A 14,868-nucleotide genomic window follows, 5' to 3' on the forward strand; every position below is an offset into this window, starting at 1 on the left:
TTCTGCTTTCCCAAGTTCCCTGACGCAGGGAAAGTCACTGCTTATTAGTTTGTGCCAACAGCGGGGGTGGCAGAGAGCAGCGAGGCAGATAATCTGAGGTAGTGGGGAATGTAAGAATCATCTCTATTTGGCTGTGGAAGGTATTTTTGGACTTACAGTTGAATGTGGGTGTGTGTTATGTGCTGGGAATTCACAACACTTCAAGCCAAATACTGAAGCTCAACCAGCAGGACCTGGCTGCTGGTTTCAGGAATTAGAAAGCTGTCCACCCTGTTCCTATTTCCTGCAGAGTTGGGTGGCTCCGTGTCTCGGCTGATGTTCAGGACCAGCTGAAGCAGAACTGCTACTTCTCTAGGGCTCAGAAACCACACTTGCCCCTGACCTAGAGCCCGGGCTGCAAATATGGGTGCCCACAGCAGGTGGGCAGCCAAGTGAGGCCAGCTGGTGTCACACAAAACGGAATGGCAGAGCCAGGACTGTGAACCCCTTCAGGAGGGCACCATCACTTCTCAGGGACAGCTGCTCCTCAGCTCCAGCTGATGACAGAGGCCAAACAAAACACATCTATGAAAGAATTTGGCCCTCTGACAACTGGATTGCAGTCTCCAGCCTCGTGGTTCTCACACTAATGTGCATCAGAATTGCCTGGAGGGCTTGTTACAACCGATTGTTGGGCCCCTTCTCCAGAGTTTCTCATTCAGTCAATCTAGGGTGGAGCCCAAGATTTTGCAATTCTAGCAAGTTCCCAGGTGATGCTTACGGTCTAGGGACCGCACTTTGGGAACCACTGCTATAGCCCAGCAGCTAGAGAATAAGAGAGCTTCCCACCTCCTTACCTTTTAGTATTTGCAAGCCTCTTTTTGGTGTCAGCTCAAGAGGTAATCATGTCCTTTAGAAGTTAAAAGTCAGAAGAAAGGGTGAGACACATCTATTAAATGGCAAATATTTCATGAACATCTCGTTTAATCATCACAGCCTTCCTGCAAGGTAGGTATTATTGCCCCTACTTTACTGCTGAGGATCTAAGGCACAGAGATGTTCATGACTTGCCCAAGGTCGCACAGCTAGGAAGGACAATTCTGGGACGGAAATCTACATCAGCCTAACTCCAGTGCCCATGCTTTTCCCAAATCATCAAACTGCCCAGAGAAACAGGGCCTCTTTGCAAAATATACCCTCTTTCTGGGGGTTGAGCAGAATAGCCTTCCCTTTAGGGACCCTTCTAAGTTTGTCCATCAGGGGCATTTCACAGGAAGGGCTGGATCAAGAGCCAGAAGGCTTGGAGAGGGGAGAGTCTTTTGCCTCCTTCCAAAGGGAATGATCAATAAAGACCTGGTCCTGGAGCACTACCCAGTGGCCTATAATTCCCAGGAGACAGGAGGGCTGACCCTGGGGCAGCATAGTGCCCTGGAAGTGCCAGGCCTGAGGAAGTCACTCCTGAACAAACCACCTTAGTCCTTGGGAATACATCAGAGCAGGATGGGAGAATTATCTGGTTAATGTCTGCAAACTGGTGGCAGGAACCATGTCTGTTTTGCTCAGTGCTATATCCCTAGCTGCTAACCCAGCACCAGTCACATAAGAGACGCTGAATTATTTGTTGAATGAGAGAATGACTGAATGGTGGAACAAAGTGCAAGGAATCTTTGCTCTTAACCAAAGGGACTATGGGAATCTTTGCTCTTAGCCAAAGGCACTAATGTGCCCACTCATGGTTGAAAGTGTAGACACTCATAAAGCAGCCAGCCTTGAGAAGGGAGATGTGGCAGGTGATAATTCTGCTTCAGGTAATTGATCGGAAATGTTTTCCAAATCCATCATGGGGCATGAAGCAAAGATATTAACAGGTCTGCCAAGAGCCAGCAAGAATAAGGTCTTATTTACCTCTGGATCCTCAGCCCGTGTCTATTGAATGAATGAAAGTGAGTCTCTCCTCCTGAATGCCCAGTGGGGAAGGTGTTCACACACTTATTGCTGCATGGGTGCTGGTGGGCCTCTGCCCAAGGAGCCTTCCCCAAGGCTTTCTGGAAGGCAGGTGCGGCACGGTGAGAAGAGCATGGACTTGGAATGGGAAGCCATGGTGCAAGCCCTGATGTCAGCCACTCCTGAACTCGTCAATAGACATGATTCCAGTGGGAGCAACAGGCACCGTGTTCTGCATCCTTGGGCCCCGCTGCCTCCCTTCTCTTTGAAACAGAGAGAATAATGATAGCAACAACAACAGCAATCATAACAACTTCTTCACAGACTTGTGAAGGTGAGATACTTGTGCACTGAGAGCGGAACAAGCACTCAACAAACGCTTGTTGTCCACATGGATCCGCTGATCGATCCACCATGGCTGGGTCACTTCTCCAGTGTGGAGAGTTTTGAGGAGTCCCTCACTGCTCCAGGTAGGAAGCTCTGCCACTACCTGACTTACTTTTCCTCTTGCTGCAACTTAAACCCTCTTACTCCACTGTCTGTGGTGACAAGGAATAGGCCGACAGTTGGTGAAAGCTCTCTCTAACACTGGTCTCCCCTGCTTTTCCAGGAAAGTAGCAGAAACAGACTTTTTGGAGTCAGGAACTAATGTTATGGAGAGTGTGCAGTGACTTAAGATGTATCTAAATCAGTGCAACTCCAAGCCACATGGTAACACAAATGGTTCTGCTGCCCATGTATAAAGCATGCCAGCCCTTTTCCCTGGCATGTGGCACACTCCAGATCTCTCCCCTCATCCAGTTATGTGTGTGCAAAACTCAGCCTGGATCAGTCACCCTTGAAATATGAGTCAAATAAAATTAAAATTAAAAATTGTTCTTGAATCACACCCTGTTTTGCATTATCTGTGCTATTATTTGACTTTACTCAGCCCTTTAACCACTGGCTCCAGATGATCCCACAGATGTAACTGGGCCAGCACTGGGGAGAGAGACCCCCACCTGAGTCGGTAAGAGCTGTTGGGATGCTGCGCTGGGTGCAGCATAGGTGACCAGCAGAAAGGTAGTGTCAGGAATCATGCAAATCCCCTTCATGTGGATGGGTCCTTGCTACTCTTCACAACCACGATGCCATCAGATTCCCTGTGAAGTCTGCAGAAGGCTTGTCATGGCTCCCATTTAACTGATGAGAAGCCAGAGGCCCTGAGAGCAGCTACAGATCCAAATGCTCAGAGTGGGAAGTTAGCCCAGGTCTGCCTTCCCACCCCGCAGCCTATCCAGGCTCCCAGAAACACTCTTATTCCCCAAGTCAAGCCGTGATGGCTCACACTGGATAAGGTCCCCAGCCACTGGGAGCTGGGAGCCTGGAAACTGTGGGAGAACCCCTACAGATTAATGACAGGTCATTCAGAGTGTCTATACACCTTGTTTTGGAAATCTAAGAGGTAACCATAGTTAGATCCCAAGGTCTCCAGAAAAATCACTCATAATACTCTCTTTGGGGAGTGGGCAGTATTGAGACTGGGGCAGGAAAGAGAAATGATGGACTATCATCCCAGTCTGAGCCCCTGACTCCAGCCTGTGTTCAGGCTATGTTTATGTCCTTCTCTCCCTTTACACCCCTAGCTTCTAGTCTAGGTGCCAAGTGGCCCTGGGCCTCTAGTGCCCTGAGGAGAGGCAGCCAATGAGCTGCTAACCCAGAGGACATAAGCTAGTCCAACTCAGCCTCTGCCATGTGACCAGCCAAAAGCAGAACCTCAAACCCCCACCCCAAGATGAGTGGGGTCCAGCCTGGCGGGCAGTGGAGGGTGCCGCAGTCTGCTCCCTTTCCTCTTTTAGAGAGGAAAAAAGAAAATGAGTGAGGAGGGGTGGAACGTCAACAGAGACCAGAAGGGAATAAAGAACACTGAGGCCAGTTCATCTGTGAAGGTCGTGAAATGGACAGAGTTTTGTTCCTTTTGGTTTATGTTATCGCAGTTATGATGGTGTTTGTGCAGTAAGTGAAACAGTGAAGGGAAAGTGTCTGGGGTCTGTGTTGGAGCTGAACGATGCTGCAAACTTGGGGGGTTGTAGATTCCCAAGGAGGGCAGGCAATGTGGAGCCTCCCTGTCCCACTCTGGGAATCTGCAACCCACCAAGTGTGGAGCCCAGGACAGAGGGGCAGAGGTATGGGAGTGGGGAAGGGCAGAGAGGGAGGAGAAGGTAGGGAGAAATTCCTTAAACCCTTTCAGGATTTCCTTCTGGAGGGCTGTGAGTCTTCTTCACCAGGCCCAATACCTGGTACTCTGGGTCCTGCCAGCTCAGATGCCTGAACTTCCAGAACATAATTGTGTTCCAGCTCAGCAGGGCACAGCCTCGGGCCGTCTAGGAGCAGGCTGCCGTTCCCCGAATGTACACCCTGTCAGTGCCCAGATCCATCTGGAGAGCAAATGGCTGGCTGAGGGGAGAGAGAGCCCAGGCACACCACCCCCCATCTGCTCCCGCCATGTGACACATGCTTGCAGGCGGGGAGGGAGAAGCCGGCAGGTGGTTGGCTGATGTAGAGTGGAGGCTGGGAGAAAGAACAAGGACCAGCACAAACCCACTGTCCAGCCCTGGCCAGAAGCATTTCTGGGAACTGCTCCCAGCCCTACTCCCATTGCCAGGTGAGCCCCCTCGCTCCTGCACACACACAGGTGAAAGACAGGTCTGAGTGAAGGCCAGGCCTGGGACTCCACCACCACTACTGCCCCAGACATAGGAATGTGTACGTGGGTGCACACTCGCCTGCGCACATGCCTGAGATCCAGATCATTCCTTCAAAGCTTCTTTGCAGGTGCAATGATGCAGCCTCACTGCTGCCCCAGCCCTGAGCACCTACAAGGCAGCTGACTGGTCCTTCTGGGTTTGGGTATATGGGTTGGGGAGAGTGAGGCAGGGACACGTGCCTGAGGACTTCTCAGGTGGATGGTGTCCAGGAGCTGAGCAGGCCATGGGGCTTGGTTGTGGGCAGAATAGAGAGTTCCAGCCCTGGGCCAGGGGGTGGGAAGAGAAGGGGAGGGGGGTCTTTAAGAGAAGCACAGTGAGCTCTTTCTGATCTGGTATAAACGAAGCCCTTCTTGGAGACAGAAAGATGGTCAAGGGCTGACAAAACCCTTCCAGTGCTTAATGAATGTCTCTCTTTAAACCTGGCCATTGGTGCCAAGCCCCTTAAGTTCCATATTCATAGAGCTCAGTTATAATAAGAATAACAGCTAACAGGCTTACTATTTGCAGGACTTTATCTATGACTCACCCTGCAGGCCCAGCCCCCACCCCCAGCTCTCCTTTTCCACAATGGAACTGGAATAGAGTTATCTTCATAGAGGCCTGTTGGAGGAGCATCTGAAATGCAAGAATTCTGGGGAGGGAGCCTGGAAGTGTCCTCTGCTCAGGCCCACAAGGACAGCAGAGAAATGGAAGGGAGTGGGAAACCGTGTCATTTTCTTACCAGAAGACTTAGTCAAGTGCTCACAGGTGTGGTCTGCAGGCAGACGTGGGCAGCACCAGACAAGGAGAGATGGAGGGTGGGCCCTGGGTCCAGGGGTGAGGAGCAGTGGAGTAAGGAGAGGCACAGCTGATCCCCTGCCTGCCAGGAGAGCTGCCGCTGCTGGCTGGCGGGAAAGGAGTGTGATGGATGCTCCCCTGTCCAGCTGCGCCTCAGCCTTGGCAGAGGAAGGAAGGACGATGAGCCCCTGAGCCAGGGAACACGGATGTCTGCCTGAGGAGGCGGAGACCAAGGCAGAGACCTGCTCTCCCACTTCTCCTCCCCACCACCCCCCTGCCTCGGCACAGCCTGGGTCGACACTGAGCACTCACACCACAAAACATGCAGCCCTGGGCTCAAATCCCAGCCCAGGCTCCTTTAGCCTCTCTGAGTCAGTTCTCTCAACCGTAAAACCACACAGGGCAGTTGTGAAGATTAAAAGATAATGTTTGCGGAAGCACATAGCACTGTCTGGCACCTAGAAAACACTCAATAAATGTCAGTCACTATTTTATCATCATTATTAGTGTTGTGATTATGCAGACCTTCCATCTCTCTCTCCAGACGCTCACAATAGCCTCCTAAGTACGCTTCCTATCTTTCATCTCTCCTCTCCAATCCATCCTACACAAAGCTGCCAGAACACAGTCTACAGCAATGATTTGGTCACATTACTCTGCTGCTTAAAACCCCCACCAGCTCCCCACTGCCTACACAACCAAATCCAAACACCCTGCATAGCAAGGACTCTCCATCTGCCTCAGACTCCCTCTCCTGCCCCCTCTCTGGCCATTCCCCCTCCATCCAACCTCCTCAACACATCCCAAATCTAGAAACTCTTCATGTCATGCACTTGCCCACCTCGATCCCTTCGCTTCTGCTTGCCCGTCCCTGTAGAATGCCCTCTCCCAAATGCCAGCTCATCTATGAAGCTCCTTCTGACCCTCACGCAGCCAATGGCTTCCTCTGCTGACAGATGCAGCATGTGGTTTATACACTCTCATCACTTCCTCACCCTGTGTTGGGCTGTGCAGATGCAAGAAGTGCTTCTCAAAATGTGCTCCTAGGACCAGCAGCATCTGCACCTCCTGGGAACTTGTTTAAAATGCAAATTCTCAGGCCTCACCCCAGACCTACTAGATCAGAAAGTCTGGGGGCAGGGCCCAGTAATCTGTGTTTTAACCAGCCCTCCAGACTCTATTGCACACTCAGTTGGGGAACCACTGATGTAAGGTACCTGTACCCTACAGGTGATGCTTGGTACACAGAGAGAAATGATGGGTTAGATCAGACCACTTGGGTGGCTTTGAAAAAATACAGCTGGTTGGGCCTCACCTGCAGAGATTCTGATTTAATTGATCTGGGGTTGGGCCTGTGCATCCATGTTTTTTTGTCTCCCAACATTTTATTATCAATATTTTCAAACATACAAAACAGTTAAAAGACTGCACAGTGAACACCTGTATACCCGCCATCTAGATTCTGTCACCAACATTCTGCTGTATTTCCTTTATCACACATCTATCTACCCATGCACTTATCCATTTTATTTTTTGATGCATTTCAAAGTAAGTTGCAGACATCATATACATCACACAAACACATCTGAGTGATTTAAAAGCCCTCCGGGGCCAGGCGCGGTGGCTCACACCTGTAATTCCAGCACTTTGGAAGGCCAAGGCGGGCAGATCACTTGAGGTCAGGAGTTCGAGACCAGCCTTGCCAACATGATGAAACCCGGTCTCTCCTAAAAATACAAAAATTAGCCAGGCATGGTGGCACGCACGTGTAATCCCAGCTACTCGAGAGGCTGAAGCACAAGAATCACTTGAACCGGGGAGGTGGAGATTGCAGTGAGCCAAGATCGGGCCACTGTACTCCAGCCTGGGCAACAGAGTGAGACTCTGTCTTGAAAAAGAAAAAAAGCCCTCCAGATGGTTACACTGTGCAGTCAGGGCCTCTCTGATCCCAGGTGGGAAACTGACAGTCTCTTAGGCTCAGCTCCTGCTATGAAATGAGGAGGAGGAGGAGGATGCCTACTATGCCTTCCTGTCCCACTCTTACAAGGATTGAATGAGATCACATTTGAGAAAGCCCTTTGTAAAGGGCCATATGGTTAACAGAAAGTAATCCCTGACTCCGTGCTGGAGGAGGAAGGTGTCCAGAGCTGTTGCAGGATCGCTGAATAATAAACGAATTGCAAATAAATGACAAATAATTCTTTAGCATAAGTGCATCCCAAATATTGCATGAGACATACTCATACCGAAATACTCTTTGTTGCTTACCTGAAATTCAAATGTAATTGGACAACCTATATTTTTACTTGCTAAGTCTGGCACTCCTAGAACTCAGTCCTGTCTTATGGAGAGCATCAGGATCAGAACCCTCTACCCAGAGAAGAGTCAGGGCTGGCAACAGGGACTACAGCTCTACCTAGCCAGCCTCTCATGCTCCTAGGATTTAAATGTTAATGTCATCCAAAAACACCCTCACAAAAACATCCAGAATAATGTCTGACCAAATATCTGGGCACAGTGGCCCACCCAAATTAACATATAAAATTAACCACCACAGTCAGCAAGTCTCAAACACTAGAGTACAAAAGTCTCACTGGGGAGAACCAATTAAAATGCAGGTCTCCAGGCCCCACCCCAGAGATTCTGATGCACTAGGCTTGGCACAATGCCCAGAAGCCAGCATTTTAGCCATCCCTCCAGATGGTTGCGATCCAAGGGCTCCATGGGCCCACTTTGGGAAGCACTGCAGTTGTCACTCAATAAATATTTGCCGACTAAAGGGATGTTGGAGGTAGGAGTGTGGGCAGCAAGGCATCTGAGCCAGGGCCAGACCACCTCTGCAAGACTGTGTCCTAGGGGCTCTGTGAATGGCCCCCAGTGGAGTGATGGCAGATGCGGAACCAGCCAGCCAGTCCTGCCCCCAGGCAGGGACCCACAGCTGAGTTTGCAGACTGACGCAGGAGACAGAATTATAGGCAGAGGGCAACTCCACCAGCACTGGCACTAACCCAAAGGGCAAACCCTTGAACCAGGCCTGGCCCCACCTGGGCCCCAGGGTGCCCTTCTCTGTCCCATGCGAGTCGGTGGGTGGACGTGCTCGGCCTCTCATGAGCCGATGAGATCATGGCTCAGGAATCTCTGTGCAGTCGGTTGCCCCTGAAAAGAACCACTCACTGAGCTGGGGAAGCGAGCAGCTCAATGTTCACAGGCAGGCTGGGGAGGCGGGGCGTAGGGCCACAGGGACCCGTGCAGCATCCCAAACACTTCAGAAAGGAAGAAAATCAACCCTGGGCTGTACAAGCCCATGATGACAGAGCTAGGTTTTTTCTTTTAATAGACTCCCATAGACTGGTGATTAGAGTTATGTTCCTGAAAACCTTACAGCTAAATAGGTAACTGCCAGAGAATGACAGGGTCTGGGCAGAAAGAGACTCTCGGTGGTGGGTTAGGTCCATCTCCCAGGACCAGCGTTCTAAACATTTCAGTGTGATAGAAGGCTGGGAGCAGACCCCTCCGCTGGGCAGCCTCCAGGGGTGGAGAGGCATGGACAGCCAGCTTCGTGTCAGAAGAGGCATTCATCCTCAGGGCCTTGCGTGATGGGGAGTAAATAGGTGCTCAATAAATGCATGTTCAGCTCAACTGAGCAAAGGGTAAAACAAGAGGAGAGGAGGCTAGTGCTGCCACTATTCCAGGCCCCTTTTACACCTGTTACCACATCCTGCAGCTCTGGGCTGCTCTGTTTCCACCCCTTCTGTGCAACCTCAAATGTCACCTGGCTCCCTTCATGCTCGTCCTCCTGCCCAGGTCTTGCTTGGCCATCTTCAGCCTGCCCTGTGAGCCATCGCACAGTGGCTCCGAAGGCGGTTCAGAGAGGGAGACGCAAGACACAAAGAATGTCTTGAAAAGAAGGGACAAAGCACTGGGGCTCTGCAGGCTGGAAAAGAACAATGGGATAAATGGGATGGGAGGCGGGGGAAGAAGCAAAGTCCTCAGGTGTCTGAAGGGTTATAACTGAGAGAGGATGACCAGAGACACCTTCGCTCTCAGGACAAGACAAGGTGAACGTGGACAGTGGAAAGACCCGCCGAGGAGAACATTCAGGATCGGAGCAGCAGAGAGCCCCTCTGTCTCTGAGATCGCCTTGGTGTCTCCAGGAAGAAATGGTTTTCTGCCTGATGTGGACTGCAGAGCTGGCCAAGCAGCCCGCCATCCACGAACACTTTCACATCCTCCCAACTCTCTTCCCGGATTTAGCTTGTGCCACCTCTGGGGGTTCCCAGTTCCACATAAGTTTACTTCCTGCTGTGTAAATAGCACTTACTTTCATTTGTGCTACAGTTTCTTTTGGCTGCCTTCAGGGGCTCCCCTTCTCTCTTGTTGTGATTTCAGGGACTTGGAGATGAAATCCACATGTTACCCTATGGCAGCCTTAAGGGAGAGGGGGATTCACAATTGGGATGTCCCCCCATCACTTTTTCCTTTCTGTCCTGGGATCCAGGTAGATATTTCATCTCACTTCAGAAAGACAATCCCTTAAAGAAGGAACAACAGGCCATCCATCTGGTTTTCCCAAGGCCGGGACCGTGTTGTCTCCAGCCCCCTTGCAATAATGCCTGGCTATCTGGCTGTTTGTTTTGGCCAAACCAGCATACAGGCTCAAAACCTTTAAGGGAACATTTCTAACAGCGCCTTAGATTTACTGGGTTATGTCAGAGCACTGGCAACTCCCCATTTGTGGATATGACTTTATTTTCCCCTAAATGTGTGTCCTTGCATATCCAGGGTAAAGTGATGCTACACTTATTTGGGCCATACGCAATAGCTCGCCTGACATTTCATCACTTGGAAGCTGCTGATGTTACCCACATTTTGTACTGGACTCTGCTACTGACATCCCCCACTTAAAAAGTATCATTTCTCTTCTGTTTCATTCTTAAGCCAATCTCTGACTCATGACACAAAACCCCATCCCAGTCCCAGGATGATGTATTCTGGTGTGGATCTAAAGGACCAAGGAATTGGCCGGGCATGGTGGCTCACGCCTGTAATCCCAGCACTTTGGGAGGCTGAGGCAGGCAGATCAACTGAGGTTGGGAGTTCGCGACCAGCCTGATCAACATGGAGAAACCCTGTCTCTACTAAAAATACAAAATTATCCAGGTGTGGTGGTGCATGCCTGTAATCCCAGCTACTCGGGAGGCTGAGGCAGGAGAATTGCTTGAACCCAGGAGGTGGAGGTTGTGGTGAGCCGAGATCGTGCCATTGCACTCCAGCCTGTACAACAAGAGTGAAAAGCCGTGTCAAAAAAAAAAAAAAAAAGGACCAAGGAAGCGCTCCCTGTTTCAGGGATGCTGGGGTGGGTGGTGGTGACTGATGGTCAGCTTCCCTGGAGAGCTTGAAGACCAGGACCAAGGCCAATCATTCTGGCCAGCCGTGCTCTTCCTGGATGCTCTTCCATTTGGGCAATGGCCCAAATTATTATTATTTTTATTGTGGTGAAGTATCCATAACACAAAATTTACCATTTTAATAATCTTTCAGTGTCCAGTTCAGGGTAATTAAGTGCATTCACACTGCTGTGTACTATCGCCACCATTCATCTCTAGCACCTACTCATTTTTCCCTGCTGAAACTCTACCCATTAAACAGTAACTCCCCAATCCCCACTCCCCGCCTGCTCCTGAGAGCCACCATTTCTACTATCTGTCTCTGATTTGACTACTGTAGGTTCTTCATGTAAGCAGATTCTTACAGTATTTGCCCTTTTGTGTCTGGCTTACTTCACTTAGCATAATGTCTTCAGGGTTTATCCACGTTGTAGCATGTATCCTTAAATTATTTTTTAAAGCACGTCACCAGGTAGCACTTCGGGGACATGGCAAAGAAAGAATGGACATAGTTACTGGAGTGGCACCCATAAATGTGGGCATGAACACACACTTGGCTCTTGCAGGCTGGTGTGTGTTAAATGGACATGTGCTTGTGCACCCCCTCTGAGTGCCCTCCACGAATCCCAGGGGACTGCCCTCCCTCCCTTTAGGATTAGTTCTCAGACCATTCTGTGCATAACATAAGAGACACCTGAAGAGCTGGTCATAATGTGGGTCCTAGGCCCCTCGGGGCTTGTGTTGGGCCCCTGTGCCACAGGTGATGCTGAGGTAGGGGACTGGGCACCCCACTTTGGGAGGACTTCCGTCCCAGGGCTGCTCCATGTTCCACAAGGGAAAGACGTGACCCCAGCCTTGGTTCATGTGTGGCCAGGCGAATTTGACAGCTTCCTGGGAAAACCAACAGGTAGGGCCCCATTGGGAAATAAGGTCACTACATCCCTGAGAGCATGTCTGGCCTATGAGAGTCAGATCTAACTTCCTACACTCACTTCCTACTCTCTTTCCCATGGAGGTCCCCATTCTCTTCTCAACGAACTCCTGAACAGCACACCGAGGACAAAGCAGCATGCTGGAGGCAGAATGAGACAAGAACACTGAGGCTGTCACACAGGCAGAGCTTGAACCAAGCCATGAGAGAGGCACACAGGCACTGTTTTTTGAGCAGAGAAAGAACACTTTTGGAGCAGGGAAGGCTTCTCCGCTTCTCAGAGGAGGTGGCACTTGAGATAGACAGAATCCTGACAGTAGATAGAAGCAGAAGGGGGTCTCATTCCAGAAACAGGTGATGTGGGTTTGGGAGGCAACCAGGATCTGGTGTGACACGGATGGATGGAGTCTCTGAGTCGGAAGTCTGGGTATAATTCCAAGTGCTTTGCGTTTGGCCATGTTACCATGGCAGGTCATCAGCCCCTGCAGGCTGTGAGCCTCAAGTCAGGGCTGGAGTGACAGGAGCAGAGGCTGGGACCGTACAGTGGAGGGCTTTGGCTGCACTTAATTTAGAGAGAGGTTGGGAGCCATGCAATGCTTTAGAGCAGAGACCCACACTCCTTTTAGCCACAGGTAGGACAAGGGTGGAGGGTCGAGTCTCTTGACTTCTCATGTCCCATGAGCAGCAGCTGGTTGGCCTGACACCTCCAAACCCTTCCTCATTTCCCATGTGGAGGATTTCCTCTAGTGAGGGCATAGTCTCCGGAAGAGGGTTTCCTCTGGCTCCTGAGAGGACTGACAGCCCCCTCCCAGCACTGGTTCACAAAATCAGGAAATGTGGATGCTAAATAATTCATAAACACATTAAATAAGATTGGCTCTAGCCTTGATCCCTGGGGAGCTCACTGTTAATACTTCCCTCATTTAATATCAGCCTGAGCCAGACATTATTAGGAAGGGAAATCTTCTCTCTCTTTTAAAAAATCATGTAGCTTAAATGGTTTGGGATTGTTTGCTACTTTGCATGATTTCTGCCACCGCTCCCGCCCATTACGGGGATAATTAAGAATTGACTACGGTTGGCAAAAAGCATTCAACAGCCAACTTTTTATTTGGTTTTTTCAAGTGCCCCAGCCCTCCTCCTGTTTCCCCACCAACCCTGGTCTTCCCTTTCTAGTCCCTGCAGCCATGCAGCCCAGATCCCTTCATGCACCACCCCCCACCCCCCAGGTCTGCTGCCTGTAAACACACTTAGAGTCCCATGGAAACCACACACTGAATGGAGAAAAAGCAGGGAGACCATTCACTCTCCTCTTATTCTACTGCCCCATTTCCTCCAGGCACCTTGCCTGATGTCCCTCGGGCCTAGGGCCAGAGTGTATTTGTTCGGCTGCCCTGGTCACCCGGGAATGGGGTGGGCTCAGTTCCCAGGCCTGTCCACCAGCTGGTCATTCTCTCTTTCGAGAGTCACTCTCTCCGACCGGCTGAGGCAGGATTAAAGACTTCAGGAGGAAGAGCGTGCCTCTGATCACAGAAGGAAGGGTTAGAGACACCAGGCCGACCCCAGCTGGCCAGGCAGGGCGGCTGCGGGATGAAGTGATCACTGGTGTCCATTCCCCCAACCCCACCTGCAGCACTCCTCAACCTCCTGCTGGTCAGAAGAGGCAAGGGGCATGTGGCCAGTCAATTTTGAGGGGCAGCTCCAGGCATTGGGGTGATCTTCAAGGCTCGTCTCCTTTATTTCCCTGCCTCCAACCAGAAGTACATCTAAGTCATCTCAAGGATTTTTTTGGGGGGGTTTTGTTTCATTTTTTTTCTCTGTCCTCATGTCACTTATTTCTAGTATTCTAAAATCCTGAACAATCTTTTTGCAGTCTAACTTAATTTTTTTCTCCTGCAGGTTCAATGCATTATGGGTTGTTCTGAGCTCAGGAAGCTGGAGCCTCACCTTGTGCACAATAAATCATCCGCGGGGCGGGGACGGGGCGGGGTGGTAAAAAAAACCTATAAAGACACACGAGAAAGCCAAGCTACTTTTGGGGGAGCACAGAGAAGCTTCTAGAATGGCTGACAGAGTCCTATTACTTGACTTGGGTGATGATGTAAAGAGCTGGCGCCTGTAGTCCCAGCTACTCGGGAGGCTGAGGCAGGAGAATGGCGTGAACCCGGGAGGCGGAGCTTGCAGTGAACCAAGATCACGCCACTGCACTCCAGCCTGGGCGACAGAGCGAGACTCGTCTCAAAAAAAAAAAAAAAAAAAAAAAAAAAAAAAAAAAAGGTAGATTGGAGGCTACTGATGTTTACCAAATTGAATTTAAGAGTCGGGCAGGACCTGCTTGACCAGGGCCAGTTCACCTGAGCCTGGCATTCAGTAACTGCTCACTAATGTTAGTGTTGTGATTATCTTACCCCTGCTGTGGAAGCAGAGGGAAAGGGAGTGGTAAGGGACAGGGTAAGGGGTAGGGAAAAGAGGAGGAAGGAGAAAGAAGCAAGGGCAGGTCATTCCGAGAGTTTGGCTCTTAGGAAATTCATCATACGCTTCATCATTGGTCCTACGTGCAGAGGAGTAAAGAAATAAACAGCTATCAGGCCGCCTTTGCCTTCCTACAACGTTTTGCTATGGCGGGCTTGCCCATAATTCTCCGAGTAACCTTCCTTCTTCTCTTCTCCTTCACTGTCTCCCGCCCCCCGCCGTGGCCCTGTAGGCTCATTCACATAGGGCCATAGGGCCATCCCTCAGGGATTGGAAGCTGGAGGCGGGCTCTGAAGGTCCAGCGGGAACTCTCCCCTCAGGTCTGTCTGCCTCACCTCCCCAATCCCACAGCTAATGAAGAAGCCTGGCAAAGTGTTTGGAGGTCCTCCCACTAACCCTATCACTCCCATTCTGGGCAGCAGGGGTGGCCTCAGAAGGAGAGCATCTGGGTTTGCCACTAAAACCCCCCTTTGCTGTCGCTTGTCAGTCGGGGGCTGCCAATATGCCCATGCCTCTTCACGTCCGTCTGTGGCTTCTGTTTGGGCCCATGTCTTTGTCTCTTTGCTCTCTCTCCCTCTGGGGCTCCTCTGCTCCAACAAAAACCCACAGCAGAATCCTGGGCACATCACAA

General features: G+C 50.7%; 1 protein-coding gene across 17 annotated transcripts in view, besides 5 other annotated features; it reads right to left on the reverse strand.

Moving 5' to 3' along the window:
• Window positions 1-14,868, reverse strand: part of SEMA5B (semaphorin 5B) — a 119,524-nt gene that overhangs the window by 60,630 nt on the left and 44,026 nt on the right. The window contains exon 1 of one of the 17 annotated variants that reach the window (NM_001256347.1): window positions 6,289-6,423. The exons of the other annotated variants lie outside the window; for them this stretch is intronic. Within the exon in view, the coding sequence (NP_001243276.1) occupies window positions 6,289-6,412 (124 nt within the window). The 5' untranslated portion in view covers window positions 6,413-6,423. Of the gene's footprint in view, window positions 1-6,288; window positions 6,424-14,868 lie in introns of those variants that run through there. 17 annotated transcript variants of the gene reach the window in all.
• Window positions 4,764-5,528: an enhancer, noted in NCBI's record as "H3K27ac-H3K4me1 hESC enhancer chr3:122693322-122694086 (GRCh37/hg19 assembly coordinates)". NCBI's record gives its function as "activates a minimal SCP1, AML or CMV promoter by ChIP-STARR-seq in naive H9 embryonic stem cells {active_cell/tissue: H9 hESC(naive)}" and the evidence as "EXISTENCE:reporter gene assay evidence [ECO:0000049][PMID:30033119]".
• Window positions 5,529-6,294: an enhancer, noted in NCBI's record as "H3K27ac-H3K4me1 hESC enhancer chr3:122694087-122694852 (GRCh37/hg19 assembly coordinates)". NCBI's record gives its function as "activates a minimal SCP1, AML or CMV promoter by ChIP-STARR-seq in naive H9 embryonic stem cells {active_cell/tissue: H9 hESC(naive)}" and the evidence as "EXISTENCE:reporter gene assay evidence [ECO:0000049][PMID:30033119]".
• Window positions 5,619-5,668: an enhancer, noted in NCBI's record as "active region_20388". NCBI's record gives its function as "activates an Ori minimal core promoter by ATAC-STARR-seq in GM12878 lymphoblastoid cells {active_cell/tissue: GM12878}" and the evidence as "EXISTENCE:reporter gene assay evidence [ECO:0000049][PMID:35858748]".
• Window positions 6,370-6,449: an enhancer, noted in NCBI's record as "active region_20389". NCBI's record gives its function as "activates an Ori minimal core promoter by ATAC-STARR-seq in GM12878 lymphoblastoid cells {active_cell/tissue: GM12878}" and the evidence as "EXISTENCE:reporter gene assay evidence [ECO:0000049][PMID:35858748]".
• Window positions 13,215-13,715: an enhancer, noted in NCBI's record as "H3K4me1 hESC enhancer chr3:122701773-122702273 (GRCh37/hg19 assembly coordinates)". NCBI's record gives its function as "activates a minimal SCP1, AML or CMV promoter by ChIP-STARR-seq in naive H9 embryonic stem cells {active_cell/tissue: H9 hESC(naive)}" and the evidence as "EXISTENCE:reporter gene assay evidence [ECO:0000049][PMID:30033119]".

Source organism: Homo sapiens, chromosome 3 (genome assembly GCF_000001405.40).
Source record: "Homo sapiens chromosome 3, GRCh38.p14 Primary Assembly".
Classification (NCBI taxonomy): Eukaryota; Metazoa; Chordata; class Mammalia; order Primates; family Hominidae; genus Homo; species Homo sapiens.